The 17,061-nt window shown below is 41.8% G+C and overlaps 1 long non-coding RNA gene across 2 annotated transcripts, besides 1 other annotated feature; it reads left to right on the top strand.

Moving 5' to 3' along the window:
• Positions 1-5,507: 5,507 nt before the first annotated feature.
• On the top strand, positions 5,508-15,660 carry LOC105378904 (uncharacterized). Of its 2 annotated transcripts, XR_947704.2 has the most exons (4): positions 5,508-6,596; positions 8,707-8,736; positions 13,568-13,692; positions 15,352-15,660. It is a non-coding gene; the product is annotated as an uncharacterized LOC105378904 (long non-coding RNA). The 2 variants fall into 2 exon arrangements; XR_001737802.1 differs by lacking the exon at positions 8,707-8,736 and having other exon boundaries at positions 15,352-15,626.
• Positions 11,688-12,887: an enhancer, noted in NCBI's record as "MED14-independent group 3 enhancer chr1:111906935-111908134 (GRCh37/hg19 assembly coordinates)". NCBI's record gives its function as "activates an origin of replication core promoter dependent on BRD2, BRD4, P300/CBP and CDK7 cofactors, and independent of MED14, by STARR-seq in HCT116 cells {active_cell/tissue: HCT116}" and the evidence as "EXISTENCE:reporter gene assay evidence [ECO:0000049][PMID:35650434]".
• Positions 15,661-17,061: the final 1,401 nt, after the last annotated feature.

Below are 17,061 nucleotides of genomic sequence, written 5' to 3'. Positions count from 1 at the left end.
TAACTTGATGTAATCCCATTTGTTCATTTTTGCTTTGGTTGCCTGTGCTTGTGGGTTATTGCTCAAGAAGTCTCTGCCCAGTCCAATGTCCAGTAGAGTTTCCCCAATGTTTTCTTTTAGTAGTTTCATAGTTTGAGGTTTTGGATTTAAGTCTTTAATCTATTTTGATTTGATTTTTGTATACGGTGAGAGATAGGTATCTTGTTTCATTCTTCTGCATATAGGCAATCTAGTTTTCCCAGCATCTTTGTCAAAAATGAGTTCACTGTAGATGTATGATTTATTTCTGGGTTCTCTATTCTGTTCCACTGTTCTATGTGTCTGTTTTTACGCCAGTACCATGCTGTTTTGGTTACAATAGCTCTGTTGTATAATTTGAAGACAGGTAATGTGGTTTTTCCATTTTTGTTCTTTTTCCTTAGGATAGCTTTGGCTATTTTGGGTCTTTTGTGGTTCTATATACATTTTGAAATTTTTACAAAATTTCTGTGAAGCATGTCGTTGGTAATTTGATAGAGATTGCATTGAATCTATAGATTGTTTGAGAACTATGGACATTTTAACAATATTGATTCTTCCAATTCATGGATGACATGGAATATCTTTCTATTTTTTGGTGTTCTCTTCAGTTTCTTTCATCAGGGTTTTATAGTTTTCATTGAATAGATCTTTCACTTCTTCAGTTTAGTTAATTCCTAGGTATTTAATTTTATTTGTGGCTATTGTAAATGGGATTACTTCTTTGATTTCTTTTCCAGATTGTTCACTGTTGGCATATAGAAATACTACTAATTTTTGTACACTGATTTTGTATCCTGCAACTTTACTGAATTTGTTTACAGTTCTAATAGTCTTTGTGTGTGGAGTATTTGGGTTTTTCCAAATATAAGATTGTATCATCTGCAAACAAGGATAATTTGACATTTTTCTTTCCAATTTGGATGCACTTTCTTTCTCTTGTCTGATTGCTCTAGCTAGGACTTCCAGTACTATGTAGAGTAACAGTGGTAAAAGTGGGCATATCTGTCTTATACCAGATATCAGAGGAAAGCCTTTCAGTTTTTCCCCATTCTGTATGATACTAGCTCTGGGTCTGTCATGTATGGCTTTTATTATGTTGAAATGTGTTCTTTCTATCCCCAGTTTTTTTAGGGTTTTTATAATGAAGGGACGTTGAATTTCAACAAATGCTTTTTCAACATCAGTTGAAATGATCACATGATTTTTGTCCTTCATTCTGTTGATATGATGTATCACACTGATTGAGCCATTCTTGCATCCCTGGGATAAATCCCAGGTGGTCACTATGAATGAATTTTTAATGTGTTGTTGAATTCAGTTTGCCAGTATTTTGTTGAGGACATTTGCATCAATATTCATTGGGGATATTGGCCTGTAGTTTTCTTTTTATATATATGTTTTTGTCTGGTTTTGGTATCAGGATAATACTGACCTTGTAGAATGAGTTTGGAAGTATTCTCTCCTCCTCTATTTTTCAGAATAGTTTGAGTAGGATTGGTATTAGTTCTTTCAATGTTTGGTAGAATTCAGCAGTGAAGCCTTTGGGTCCCAGGCTTTTCTTTGCTGAGAGACTTTTTATTACAGCTTTGATCCTGTTACTTGTTATCGGTCTGTTCAGGTTTTGGATTTCTTCACAGTTCAATCTTGGTAGGTTGTATGTATCTACGAATCTGTCTATTTCTTCTAGATTTTATAATTTATTGGCATATAGTTGCTTATTGTAGCCACTAATGATCTTTTGGATTTTTGAAGTATGAATTGTAATGTCTCCTTTATCGTCTCTGATTTTATTTATTTGGGTCTTCTCTCTATTTTTTAGTCTGGCTAAAGGTTTGTCAATTTTGTTTATATTTTCACAAAACCAATTTTTGTTTCATTGATATTTGTATGTTTTTCCCTTTCAATTTTGTTTATTTCTTCTTTGATCTTTATTATTTCTTTTCTTCTACTAATATTGGGTTTCATTTGCTCTTGCTTTTCTAGTTCTTTAAGATGCATCATTATGTTTTTTTTTAATTTTTTTCTACTTTTTTGAGGTAGGCATTCAATGCTATAGACTTTCCTGTTAGTACTGCTTTAACTGTATCCCATAGGTTTTGGTATGTTGTGTTTACATTTTCATTTGTTTCTTGAAACAAATGAAACATATTATATATTCTGGTTATTAATTCCTTGTCAGATGGATATACTATTCTAGTATAAAAGTTTTTTCCTTCAGCACTTAATAGATTATCTATCCTTGAGTATGATCCATGTGCTGAGGAGAAGAATGTGTATTCTGCAGCCATTGGATAAAATATTCTGTACATATCTATTAGGTCTATTTGGTCTATAGCGCATATTAAGTCCAGTGTTTGTTGATTTTCTGTCTAGATGATCTATCCAATGCTGGCCTTTAAGGTTTCCACTCAGAAGTCTGCTGCCAGATGTACTGGAGCACCTTTGAATATTATTTGTTTCTTTTCTCTTGCTGATTTTAGAATCTTTTCTTACCTTTGACCTCTGGGAGTTTGCTTATTAAATGCCTTGAGGTAGTCTTCCTGGAGTTAAATCTGCTTGTGTTCTATAACCTTCTTGCACTTGGATATTAATATCTTTCTCTAGGTTTGAGACATTTTCTGTTATTATCCCTTTGAATAAACCTTCTGCCCCTATTTCTCTCTACCTCCTTTTTAAGGCTAACTTCATTCTTTTTTGTTCTTTTTTCTTTTGTCTCCTCTGGCTGTGTATTTTCAAATAGCCTGTCTTTGAGCTCACTAATTCTTTCTTCATCTTGATCAATTCTTCTGTTGAGAGAATCTGATGCTTTCTCCAGTATGTCAATTGAACTTTTTAGCTCTAGAATTTCTGCTTGATTTTTTAAAATTATTTCAATCTCTTTGTTAAGTTTATCTGATAGGATTCTGAGTTCCCTCTCTGTGTTGTCTTGATTTTTTTTGTTGTCTCAAAATAGCTATTTCGAATTCTGTTTGAAAGGTCACATATCTCTGTTACTCTGGGATTCATCATTGGTGCCTTATTTAGTTTGCTTGGTGAGGTCATGTTTTCCTGGATGGTCTTGATACTTGTGAATGTTGGTTGATGTCTGGGTATTAAAGAGTTAGGTATTTGTTGTAGTCTTCGCAGTCTGAACTTGTTTGTACATCCTTCTTAAGAAGACTTTCCTGGTACTTGAAGGGACTTGGGCTGGGCGTGGTGGCTCATGCCTATAATCCCAGCACTTTGGGAGGCCAAGGCAGTAGTATCGCCAGAGGTCAGGAGTTCGAAAACAGCCTGACCAACATGGTGAAACCCCGTCTCTACTAAAAAAAACCCAAAGAGACAAAATTAGTCAGGCACGGTGGCATATGCCCATAATCCCAGCTACTTGAGAGGTTGAGGCAGGAGAATCGCTTGAACCCAGGAGGCGGAGGTTGCAGTGAGCCGAGATTTCGCCATTACACTCCAGCCTGGGTGACAGAGTGAGACTCTGTCTCAAAAACACAAACAACAACAACAAAAAAGAAACAAAAAAACCCAAACAAACAAAAACAAAAACAAACCAAAAAAATGAAAGGACTTGGGTGTTGTGATCTAAGTCTTTGGTCACTGCAACTGTGTCTGCATTAGGGGGCAACCCCAACCCAGTAAACTATGTGACTCTTACAGACTTGTAGAGGTCCTGCTTTGGTGGCCTTGGTATGATCCAAGAGAATTATCTGAATTACCAGGTAGAGACTCCTATTCTCTTCTCTTCCCTTACTTTCCCCCAAACAAACAAAGTCTCTTTCCCTCTGTTCTAAGCTCCCTGGAGCTGAGGGAAGGGTGACACAAGCATCTCTGTGGCCACCACCACTGGGACTATACTGGGTCAGACCTGAAGCCAGTACACCCCTGGATCTTGCCCAAGGCCCAGGGTGACCACTGCCTGGCTACCACGGATTTTCACTCAAGGCCCAAGGGCTCTTCAGTCAACAGGTGTGAATCCAGGCAGGCTTGTGTCCTTCCCTTCAAGGTGCTGAGCCCCCTCACAGCCTAGGGTGGGTCCAGAAATGCCATCTAGAAGCCAAGGCCTGGAATTGGGGACCCCCAGGAGCCCACTTGGTGGTCCACCCAACTGTGGCCAAGCTGGTAAACAAGCTGCAATAAAAAGTCCCCTTTATTCTTCCCTCTCCTCTCTTCAAGCAGAAGGAGTCTCTCTCTGTGGCCACCATAGCTGGGAATGTGCTGGGTTACATCTGAAGCCAGCATGTTATTGGGTCTCAGCCTAGGCCTGTGGCGAGTACTGCCCGACTACTGCTGATGTTTATTCAAGGCCCTTGGGCCCTTGAATGAAGGTGATGAATCCTGTCATAGCTGGGTTCTTCCTTTCAAGGCAGGGCATTGCCTTCTGACCCAGGGTGTGTCTAGAAGTGTCATTCAGGAACTGGGGCCTGGAATGGAGGCCTCAGGACTTTGCCTGATGCCTTATCCTATTGGGGCTGAGCTGGTATCCAAGTTGCAAGACAAAGTCCTCTTTGCTCTTTCTTCTTCTCTCCTCAGCAGAAAGAAGGCATCTCTTTCAGAGCTGCAAGCAGTACTGCCTCAGGTTGAGGGAGGGGTGGTGCAAGCACTTCCTTGGCTGCCCCAGCTGGTGTCTCACTGGGTTGTGTGCACCCAGTGCACGTCTGCTGGCTCCAAGCCCAGCACAGCACTAGAACTTGCCCAGGAATTGCAGTCCTTGTAGCCTAGACTGCCTTTCAAGTTTATTTAGGACCCCAGAGCACTTCAGCCTGTGGTGCCAAGGCTAGCTGGAACTCAGTTTCTGACCACTGGGATGGGCAATTTCTCTCTGGCTAGGCCTGGTGCCCACTGAATTCTATCCTGTGTTGGTTTTTGCAGCACTAAGTTCCAGTGCAAAGTCCCACAATCACTGTGCTCTCCCTTCCCCAAGCATATAGATTCCCTCTCTGCACCATGCACTTGCTGCTGCTGCCAGGAGATGCGAGAAGGGTGTGTCAGCAATTCAAGACTGTCTTTCCTATGCTGTTCAGGCCTCTTTCCTTGCTATGATGTTAAAAGCAGGTACTGTAATTGCTCACCTGATTTTTGGTTCTTATGAAGGTCCTTTCTTGTGTGAATAGTTATTTAATTTGGTGTTCTTGTGGGGAGGATGATCATTGGAGGCTTCTGTTTGGCCATCTTGCTCTGCTTCCTCTCCCTATGAACTGAAAATATTTTTTTAAAAAATAAAAGTAATAAAGACTTGTCTTATGAGATGTCAAAAATATTACATAAAACATTTATTAATGAAAAATAATGCAAAGTTCACAATTACTTTTGTATTTATTGAAATGTATTTGGTTTTCCTTCTTTAGGCTATTTGTTTCCCCTAAATGATGTGCAATTTTCCTTTTTCCATGTGTGTGGTTCAGCGCTCATGTAGGTCAGCCTATTGGGCGGGGGGTGGGGGGCTCTCAGGTAGTGATAGAAGTAGGAGGTGAATGATAATTTCAGTGTTTCTTTTCCAAGGGATCAGAAATATTTCTAGGCTAATCTTCAAGTTACTGTGAAATGGAAAAAAATGTTTTGGGTCAAGGTAATAGAAAAATATATCTTAGGTGTTAGGTGTTAGACAAATAGTAAGACGTGAGAATATTGGGAATCTTGAGCAATAATTTTTATATACCTGGTAAGATTTTACTGGATATACTAGTAAGATTTATATACCTGGTAAGATTTTACTAATTTTCCAAAAGATCTTGGGCTGGGTTATCTGCCCTTCTGTATGCCAATGTATATTTTTACTGTTCAAAGAAGGAAGGAAGAACAGAGTGGAGATCATTTAACCTAAAAAACGCAGACTGTTCTATTGCTTGGGGAGTAACTTGGTTGATGGAAGCCAAGACATGGGCTGTAGTCTGGCAAGTCCCATCCTGAGTTGTAGATATGTGCACAGTGGACAGCAAAGCAACTGGGCAGACCCAGTCAGCAAACTGGGAGAGTAAGACCCATCAGGAGCTCTACCAATAAAGTGGGCCTCAGACAGGAATCATGTCTGGAAAAAGAAGAAGGAAACTCAAGATTTATTGAGCACTCTCCATGTGCCAGGCACATGTCCCTGGAGAACAGTGGGTAAGTGTATAAAAATCTGAGAACCCTACTAAAAACTCCAGTTGGATGAGTCAGAGACTTGGGAGGCTATGGGTAAGCAACTCAGTTGGGGCCAAGTACTCTTGCCCTGTGCTCCCATGGCACCCCACAATAGCCCTATCTCCCCAACTAGTCTCTGAGTTCCTGGAGGGCAGGGATGGTGTCACCAATTTTTGGCTGATCTGACCAATGGGATATTGGGGATATGACAGAATGTGACTTCTACTATGCTCTTTCTTGATTTACTTACTCTGGGAGAAGCTGTCTGCCACTCTAGAATCCCTATGGAGAAGTACATCAAGGAAATACTGAGGCCTCCTGCCAACAGCCAGCACCAGCTTGCTAGCCATGTGAGTGACATATCTTATGAGTGGATCCTCCAGCCCTCATTAAACCTTCAAAGACTGCCCCAGCCAACATCTTGACTGCAACTTCATGAGAAAACCCAAGCCAGAACCACTCAGGTAAGCTATTCCTGAATCACAGAAACTATATGAAATAATAAATATTGCCTTATTGTTTTAAGTGGTTAAGCTTTGGAGTAATTTGCCATACAGCAATAGACAATGAATAAGGTCAGGAGTAGCTTGTTGGTTGAATACTGCCAACACCAGAACAGTTGAAGACAAGACATTTATTAATTAAACCAATTTTTATCAAGTGCCTAGTCTGTGCCACGTGCCACATATCTAAAGATGAATGTATTAGTTCATTCTCACATTGCTATAAAGAACTACCTGAGACTGGGTAATTTATGAAGAAAGAGGTTTAATTGACTCACAGTTCTGTAGGCTGTGAGGAACTGTTAGTCAATTATGATTGAGGAGGCCTCAGGAAACTTACATTCATGGTGGAAGGGTAAAGGGGAAGCAAGCACCTTCTTCATATTGCGGAGTGGGAGAGAGAGAGAGAGAGAAGGGGGAAGAGCTACACACTTTCAAACGAGCAGATGTCGTGAGAACTCACTATCAGGCAAACAGCAAGGGGGAAACCACCCTCATGATCCAATCACCTACCACCGGATACCTCCCACAACATTGAAGATTACAATTCAACATGAGATTTGGTGGGAACACAGAGCCAAACCATATCTATGAACATGGCCATGAACCACCTCTTTCTTAAGCGGGCTAAAAGGAAGCTAGAATCCTTGAGGAAATTCTTGGCTCAGCCTGAGGATTTGCTTTTAAGCAAAAGCTAGCAGCTGCCCCTGCACCTGTGCCCTCTCTTATCTGCCTGGCTTAGCCCCAGTACTGAGGGGTACAGCCACTGGCAGTGGAAAATCTATAGCCTTGGGGTTATCAAGGTGAGACAAAACAGAGCCTGGCACCTGCAACCCTAGCTTCCCAAGTGCGTCTGACCCCTCTTTCAGCCATATATCTCTCTTACTCACAAATCTAGTCGGTTTTATTTGTTTTTGTTTTTGTTTTTGTTTTTTCCCTAGGGAGTCAGACTCTAGCAAAGTAGGTTACAATGTTCTTTGCACCATACTTCCACCCCTCCTCCTAGGGTGAGGAGAAGGGGGCAGGGGTACAAAGATAATGTTTCTCTGGCAGCAGCTGCCCTCTCCCCATTCTTGCCCTTGGCTGCAATAAGGGAAGAAGAAGCTGAAGAGCTGGCAGCTGCAGCATCTTATAGTTGTTCCGTCCTTCCTCTACAGCTGTGCAGCAAAAGCACAAGGAACTGAGGAGGAGATGACGCACAGGGATAATCATGCCACTTTCCTGAACTGGATTCCTTCCAAGACCCTGCTGCTGACTTTGGGCACTGGGCTTGGTCCATCAGGAGGAAAATTACATGCTTTAAATGAGCATTCCAATATGTTGGCTCTATCCCCCATGAGCTTTTCTAGCCCTGAGCCCTGGACCTGGGGACCCTAAGTCCCAGCATAGCACCCTTCATTCTCTCCCAGGGCTTCTGCATTCTCTGAGGGAAGAACTCAGCCTCAGTGTCCAGCTGAGGCTTCCAACAGCAAGGAGTTCTGTCAGAGTAGCCGGGCCTGGGCTGGTGAGGGGGTCTTTGCTGCCTTTGCTAGGTTTCTGTCCCTCTGGGTGGGGTAGGGGTGCTTGCTGTTATGAAGGATAGGAGACAGGAACACGATGGTCTCAGGACTTGGGGTCATGAGATGGCAGCTAAGCTGCTCCCACAGTGATAAAAGGGACCTCTTCTTAAATGAGGCTGAACCAAGAGGCTGAGCAAGGCAGCTGGTGTGGAGGCACAATGGAGAGGATGCTGCCCTGGGCCTGTGAGTCTCCCATTCCTTTTGCCCTTTATCCTATAGGTCATGGGGGTGCCTTGGGAATGGGGTGTGAAGGCCAGCATCTGTTCCAGTGAGATTTCTTTATGGAGTTCTGATATAAACCTGGAGGTTTCTATATGGAGTCCCTCTGAGCAGAGGGACTTGAGCTCCAAGCCTGGGAATAATAAAATGGGGCCCTGGGAATCGCCACTGATAGGTCCAAAGGCCCTTGGGTCCTTGAAACCCTGTGAGTCTCCTCGCTAGCACTAGATCCTAACCGGAAAGTCCATATGAGGATTTCTTGTTATTGTATTATTTTTTTTTGTTTGTTTCAGGCTCAGCTACTCTACTGCAGGTGCAAATAGGTAAGGAGTAACAGCCTCCTACCTACACTCCACTCTTCCTAATAGTTAACTCCTCTTTCTCTTTTTTCTTCCAGCTCTAAATTTCTTTCTCTTTCTTCATTTCCTTCTCCTTCCATGATGAAGTCAGGACTAGAGCCCCAAGCCCCCAGCCTGCTTGCTGGATCCCAGTTTGTTAGAACTGGGAGGGAACATATAGATCATTAATCTCAAACTCCTCATTTTATAGGTGAGAAAACTAAAGTGCAGAGAGGGAAGTGGCCTGTCCCACACCACTCGCATCAGGATTTAAACATATGTCTTGATGCTAAGCCTGGTGTAGTCTCTATTATCTATTACTCTCCACTCCTCTTTGTTTTGTCTTTTTTCTCCTCAAATGTCCTAACATTTTTTTCTAATTCCTGGGCATTGGGCTATACATATGAGACACGGCTAAGACCTAGATAGGGGGAGTCAGGAGAGTAGAGTGGGAAGGGCATGAACTTTGGAGTAAGACTGGCTGGAAATAGTAGATGCACAATAAATACCTGGGGAATAGATGGATAAATGATTTGGTATTAATCTTAACCTTGCAGTCTTGAGCAAGTCAGTTTTTCTGAATCTCATCTGAAAAGAAGAGAATAATGTTTCCCTTGTAGGATTGTTATGAGAATTAAAAATATAAGCAAAAAGATGCATGTAAAGCCTTTAAATAAAGCTTCAGTCACCTCATATGCCAACTACAAAAGGTTACCATTTTATTGATAATAACGTTTAACAGTCTATTCTTGTGATAAATTGATGCATAATATCTGAGGAACATCATTACCCCGACCACTTGCTTCTGTGATAGCAAATTCATTTTACTTTATATCTTGACTCTTACTGAATTTTAAAGCTTTCTGGCTATGAAAGATGCTTAGGTCTTGCTGAGACTATGGAAAAAAATGTCATGACTATTTAGCAAGGTCTTACATAGACATAGGAAAGGTGTGTAGCAGTATCTACCAGGTATATGCCAAGCTAATTCTTAGGTTACTTACTCTTCCCTTGAAGAGTTTATTAGCAAGTGAGACACGCACTGGGGGACTTGAACCACATAACTGCTGCTTTCTCCTCTTAGGCTCAGCCTATAAGCTAGTGTATTACTTTACCAACTGGTTGCTGTATTGACCAGAACCAGCCAAGTTATTTCCTAAGAATGTGAACCCATATCTGTATACAATTGATGTACGCCTTCGCCACTGTGAATGACAAAATTGCTTCTTATGAATGGAATGATAGTGATGTCCTATATCCTCAGTTCCAAGCCCTGAAAGAACAATCTGTAGGAATTGAGTCTACAGTGAGTGAGAGACAGGGAGGGATAATGGAAAGTCCAAGCTCAGTCTCCAGTTCATTCTCACTAGCATAAATTTCTGAGAGGAAAAGTCCTTTGCAGACAGTTTGTTCCTGAAAAGAATATGCACATTTCTGACAGTTATGGTAAAATATAACATAAACACCACCTGGGCAGTTGGGGAGGAATGCTTGCCATGGGGACTTTAGAAGTTGTGCTTGGCAGCTGCCCATTCCCCAGAGAGTCACGAATGAGGGCAAGAAAAGTTGCTTTCTGTGATATCTGCATCCTGCAGGCTCACAGAGTTCTCACGGAGATCTCACAGAAGCACATTTTGTTTCTTTCTGCAGCAATGGTGACCTGGTCAACTTGCTGGCCACTGGTAGAGGGAACTTTGGTACTCAGAAGTAGAGCCTCCTCATGGCCAGGGGATGAGGGTGGAGGCAAGAGAGTCCCCAAGGCTGAGGTGGGAAACAATAATGCCAGAGAAGGAGGTGAAGATGGTTATTCTAGAGGAGAAAAAGGTTGGCACCTGCAAAGATGATATCTGAGTGGGAAGGGCTGGCTACAGCAGCTATGGAGAGATAGCAACGGTGCAGTGAGAATCAAGTACTTAAAAGAATATAGAGAATGATGCATGGTAGGGAGGAAGGTTGGTGGTAAAGAAGAGCTATTGTCTGCTGATGAGAATGGAAGAGCCCTGGGCTGAGTCATAGGCTTTGCTGCTGGAAAGTAGTAAGAAAAGATAATCAGCATCACAGACATGTGGACTCTGGGGTTGGAAAAGGAGATGGTGAAATAGATTTGACTTGTATATAAAAAAGCCATTTAAGCTACTTTTTAGATTATGAAAGTAATGCATTCCCATAATTATTTTAAAAATCAGATAACTCGATTGTTTGACATAAAAAGTAACTTGCTCCTCTTCCTTCTTCCCCTCCCCAATTATCTAGAGGTAGCAGTGTGATGGTTAGAACAAGTTGCAGTTAAGTTTTTAAATTCTCACTGTAATAGTCAGTAGACTTTCTGATGGTTACCTATAAGTTAACAGGCTAATGCTTACTTGTGGTATTTGACCAATATTTCTTCTTCCTGAGATGTCCTTTCCACCAACATGGCTTTTTCTGCCTCCACAACTCGAATAAATAAGAGTCTTTGCACCCACAACTCCAAACTGCATCTTTTCTTCCCCATTTTAAATTATCCAGTTTGATGCTAGTCAATTTACTTCCACCAAACAAACAAACAAACCTTTCTAGCTATTAAATACCTGAACTTAAAAAACAAAACAGATAAATTAGAGAAGTTGTGATATGGTTTACGAAACATTAATTACAGGCTTATCATAATCAGGAACAAACCTGGAGTGTTTAAATACTGTTTATAGGCTATACAGTTATTGACTATGGCAGAGGATATGACAGAATTTTAATACCTATAAGTTCTGTTCTAGATATTGAGGCACTTTAAAATGTTGGATTCAGCTTAAATTTAATAGTACATCTTTGGGGGGCAGAAATGCCGTATTATATATATATATAGATTGTAAGTCACATCTTAATTTTGGAAATAGTAAGTATTAAGAAATAAACATCTAAGAGTTAAAGAAATATAATATTTGAACCACTGCCCTATGAAAGATCCCACTAGTAAAGAAAATGTATATGTACCTTTGATGTTATAAATAAATGGAAACATACTATTCAATAAGTACACTGAAGAAAAAATTTAAATTAAAAACACGTATTTGTTGATTAACATTTACATTTTTGGGTTTCTTTATCTTAACTCTAAAAATCCAGAAGGGGTTATTATAAAATACAGAATAAGAATTGCTATCAGAGATCATGTGGGGAGAATTCCTGGGGTCTGTTAATGTTAATATAGACAAGCTCTCTGCCTATATTCATAACCATTGGTGCCACAGATGCCAATCACAAGATTTTCAACTGTTCTGTCATTGACTTCTTTCGCCAACGTGGATTTGATGGCATTGACCTGAATATCAAATATCCAGGGTCTCAGGGAAGCCCACCTGAGGACAAACAGTAATTTACCATCCTGGTTAAGCTGGGAATTGTGGGATATGATGAGGTTTCTCTTCAAACAGCCTGATCAATCCTTTATTCTTTAATTCATAGTACCCCCTTTCCCTTTTCTCCTCTTTCTTCCTTTCTGCCTTTGTTACATGCCCAGACATGCCACAGTACCAAGTGTTATCAGTACCAGCTCACATTCCTTTCCTTATTTGGAAAGAAGACTAGCTCTCTAGCTCACTGCAGACACCCCGTCCCTTTCCCCTCTCTCCCTGAGGTGCCCACCTTATCTAAAGAAAGTTCAAATGTTTAGCCAACCAGGAGTAGTTTAGATTGTGTGGCTCGACTTTGGCTAATGGGGAAAGGGCACAGGGGCAGTGCTTGCATCAGGAATAAAGGCCCTCGCGCCCCTTTGTTCAGGTGTGCTCTCATGGCGACTGCACAAGCAGAAGCACCTCTTTGCGCAGAAGTAAAATTGCTTCGCTGAAAATCCTTTGTTTGAGTGTTTAATTTCCTTAGGATTTTGAGCATTATTTCCAACAGAATGGAGCACCAGCTCTGTGTCGTCTTGTAGAGAAGCTTGTACCTTAATGGATTTTCTGTAAGGGCTGAATTTCCTGGGGATAGCAAAGGATGTTGCCCTCAGGCAGTACACGAGTTAAGGTGTTTGGGAGTTGCAAGCGATAGAAACAGACTCTTTGGTTAGTGTAAGCCCAAAGGGAATTATTGGAAAGATATAGGTATCTGAAGAAACACAAGGGAGAAATCCTTGGACTGGGAAGGAGGAACTGTTCATTATCTCAGTCGTTCATTCAGTAAATGTTTATTGAGCATCTACTGTCATCTAGGCACTGTGCTTCACACTGTAGCTAGGGCAGTTAATGACAGAAACATGATCCTTGCTCTCGTGGGGCTTGCAAAGAGGATACAGACTCCAAAAAAGTATCAAATAATCATAAGTTGTGATAAGAGCTATGATGGAAGCAAATAGGATGGTCAGGGAAGTCTTCTCTGAGGAAGTGACATTTAAGCTGTGATATGAATAATTAACAGCAACCAGCCACAAAAAGAATAGGGAGAAAATTGTTCTAAGGAAGTTGGAACAGCATTAGCAAAAGCCTGGAGGCAGGAAAAACCTTTCCGTGGCTAATTAGCAAAAGCTTGGGGGCAGAAAGAGCTTAGCATGGCTATCGACAAATCCAAAAAGTTTAGCACTTTAGAAGGAAGAGTGAACTCTGCCAGGAGGTCCTAGTTTTTTTCTTTGGAATTGCCATTAACTGTAACTTGGACCCTAGGACAACTAGTATGTGTAGTATCTCTTTGTTCCAAGTTATACTTTATCAAGACCCATACCTGTATATTGGGGACTATTTCTAGAAAAGGGGAATTGCTAGGAGCTGGAAAGAAGCCTAAGAGGTGCTTACTGTAGAAAATAGATAATAAAGACAGCCACTCAAATCCACCCTCACTCTCTCTGTAGGAAATGCTGGAGGCTTTTGAAGAAGAGGCTAAAGGAACAGGACACCCCAGGCTGCGTATCACAGCAGCTATATCTGCTGGCAAGGAGACCATTGATGCAGGATATGAAATTTCAGAGATCAAGAAGTGAGTGCAGTGTGTCTCTCAGGGGTCCCCAAATCCCAGAGCAGAGATTTCTAAACTTTTTGGTGGACAGCATCCCAAGCAGTGCTGTAAGTGTAGTGTTGGAAAAACTAGTGTCCAATGCCAAACAGACTTGAGGACTTGGTGGCTTTGGGATAAGATGGTGGCTCCTTTAAATGGTCATTGTGGTAGGCTTTGGGAAGAAGAAGACTAAGATTTAAGGCCATGCAGAATCTTTATAATAGCAATCCTCATTATCAATTTCTCCTGAAAAATGATATAAAGTCACCAAAGCTATTATTGACAAAGCAATAGGAGAGTTACTCACTATGATTCCCATGCTCCCAGAGACATGTGTTTCTCAGTTATGAGCTCTAACAACCACATTTCCTAGCTTTCTGCTTTGGGTTTTTTCTGTTTTTGTCAAGGAAGTAAAAAAGGCTTCCTCTCCAGCCCTATGGGGGTTGCAGAAAATAACATCGTTCCCTGGAGCACCATAGGAAGCCACACTGGTGGGGTCATATGGATATCTACTTGACATATGTTTCCCATGGCTATCATTTTTTGCTCTTAAATTTTCTATAAGAAAATGCCCCCAGGGAGTGTAAATTAGTTCAACCATTGTGGAAGACAGTGTGGCGATTCCTCAAGGATCTAGAACTAGAAATACCATTTGACCCAGCAATCCCATTACTGGGTATATACCCAAAGGATTATAAATCATGCTGCTATAAAGATACATGCACATGTATGTTTATTGCGGCACTATTCACAATATCAAAGACTTGGAACCAATCCAAATGTCCATCAATAATAGACTGGATAAAGAAAATGTGGCACATATACACCATTAAATACTATGCAGCCATAAAAAAGGATGAGTTCATGTCTTTTGCAGGGACATGGATGAAGCTGGAAGCCATCATTCTCAGCAAAATATCACAAGGACAGAAAACCAAACACCGCATGTTCTCACTCATAAGTGGGAGTTGAACAATGAGAACACATGGACACAGGGAGGGTAACATCACACACCGGGACCTGTTGGGGATGGGAGACTGGGGGAGGGATAGCGTTAGGAGAAATACCTAACTCTAAGTGTACCTAGGCAAACACCCTACATGGAGTCAGACTGTTACTGTGTCTATGTAGAAAAGGAAGACATAAGAAACTCCACTTTGATCTGTATTTTGAACAATTGTTTTGCCCTGAGATGCTGTTAATCTATAACTTTAGCCCCAACCCTGTGCTCACAGAAACATGTGCTGTATGGAATCAAGGTTTAAGGGATCTAGGGCTGTGCAGGATGTGCCTTGTTAACATTATGTTTACAGGCAGTACGCTTGGTAAAAGTCATTGCCATTCTCCATTCTCGATTAACCAGGGACACAATGCACTGTGGAAAGCCGCAGGCATCTCTGCCCAAGAAAGCCTGGGTATTGTCCAAGGTTTCCCCCCACTGAGACAGCCCGAGATATGGCCTCATGGGAAGTGAAAGACTTGACCGTCCAACCCAGCACCCATAATCTGTGCTGAGGAGGTTTGGTAAAAGAGGAAGGCCTCTTGCGGTTGAGATAGGAAGGCCTCCATCTCCTGCATGCCCCTGGGAAAGGAATATCTCTGTAAAGCCCGATCATATGAATTCGTTCTATTCTGATATAGGAGAAAACCACCCTGTGGCTGGAGGCGAGATATGCTGGCGGAAGTGCTGCTCTGTTACTCTTTGCTACACTGAGATGTTTGGGTGGAGAGAAGCATAAATCTGGCCTGCGTGCACGTCCAGGCATAGTACCTTCTTTGAACTTACTTGTGACACAGATTCCTTTGCTCACATGTTTTCTTGCTGACCTTCTCCCCACTATCACCCTGTTCTCCTGCCACATTCCCCTTGCTGAGATAGTGAAAATAATAATTAATAAATACTGAGGGAACTCAGAGACCGGTGCTGGTGCAGGTCCTCCGTATGCTGAGGGCTGGTGTCTGGGCCCACTGTTCTTTCTCTATACTTTGTCTCTGTGTCTTATTTCTTTTCTCAGTCTCTTGTCCCACCTGATGAGAAATACCCACAGATGTGGAGGGGCAGGCCACCCCTTCATATACCGACATGTATGCCTATGTAATGTTGTGCCCAAGTACCCTAGAACTTAAAGTATAATAATAACTAAAAAAAGATATACTTAAAAAAAAAGAAAAAGAAAAGAAAATGCCCCCAGGCCGGGCGTGGTGGCTCACACCTGTAATCCCAGCACTTTGGGAGTTCCAGGTGGGTGGATTGCTTAAGGTCAGGAGTTCCAGACCAGCCTGACCAACATGGTGAAACTCTGTCTCTACTAAAAATACAAAAACTAACTGGGCATGATGGTGGGTGCCTGTAATCCTAGCTACTCAGGAGGCTGAGGCAGGAGAATCACTTGAACCCAGGAGGGCAGAGGTTGCAGTGAGCGAGATCGTGCCATTGTACTCCAGCCTGGACAACAAAAGTGAAACTCCATCTCAAAAAAAAAAAAAAAAAAAGAAAAAGAAAAAGAAAATTCCTCCAGAATCCTGTTGGCTTAAAATCCTTTGTTCCAGGCTCCTTGATTTCATCAGTGTGATGACTTATGACTTCCAAGGTGGCTGGGACACATCTACAGTACACAATAGTCCCCTACACATAGAATCCAAGGATCAGGGTGAAATGCATTATTTCAACTGTGTAAGAAAGAAAAACCTCAAATCATATGCAGAGGGGAGATGGGGAAGGGATTGGGGAGAATCTTGGTTGTATATTAAGGCTTTCTCTTTGGGGAACAATTGCTAGACTTTGTTCATCAAATACAACAAACTGTAGGGAAAAGAGAGATCAGACTGTAACTGTGTCTACATAGAAAGAAGTAGACATAAGAGACTCCATTTTGTTCTGTACTAAGAAAAATTCTTCTGCCTTGAGATGCTGTTAATCTGTAACCCTACCCCCAACCCTGTGCTCGCAGAAACATGTACTGTGTGGACTCAAGTTTTAATGGATTTAGGGCTATGCAGGATGTGCTTTGTTAAACAAATGCTTGAAGGCAGCATGCTTGTTAAAAGTCATTACCACTCCCTAATCTCAAGCACCCAGGGACACAAAACACTGCAGAATGCCACAGGGACCTCTGCCTAGGAAAGCCAGGAATTGTCCAAGGTTTCTCCTCATGTGATAGTCTGAAATATGGCCTCGTGGGAAGGGAAAGACCTGACCGTCCCCCAGCCTGACACCCGTAAAGGGTCTGTGCTGAGGAGGATTAGTAAAAGAGGAAGGCCTCTTTGCAGTTGAGATAAGAGGAAGGCATCTGTCTCCAGCTCGTCCCTGGGCAATGGAATGTCTCGGTGTAAAACCCGATTGTATATTCC

Source organism: Homo sapiens, chromosome 1 (genome assembly GCF_000001405.40).
Source record: "Homo sapiens chromosome 1, GRCh38.p14 Primary Assembly".
NCBI lineage: Eukaryota > Metazoa > Chordata > Mammalia > Primates > Hominidae > Homo > Homo sapiens.
Note: the sequence above shows the minus strand (reverse complement) of the source record. Positions and strands in the feature narration are given on the sequence as shown.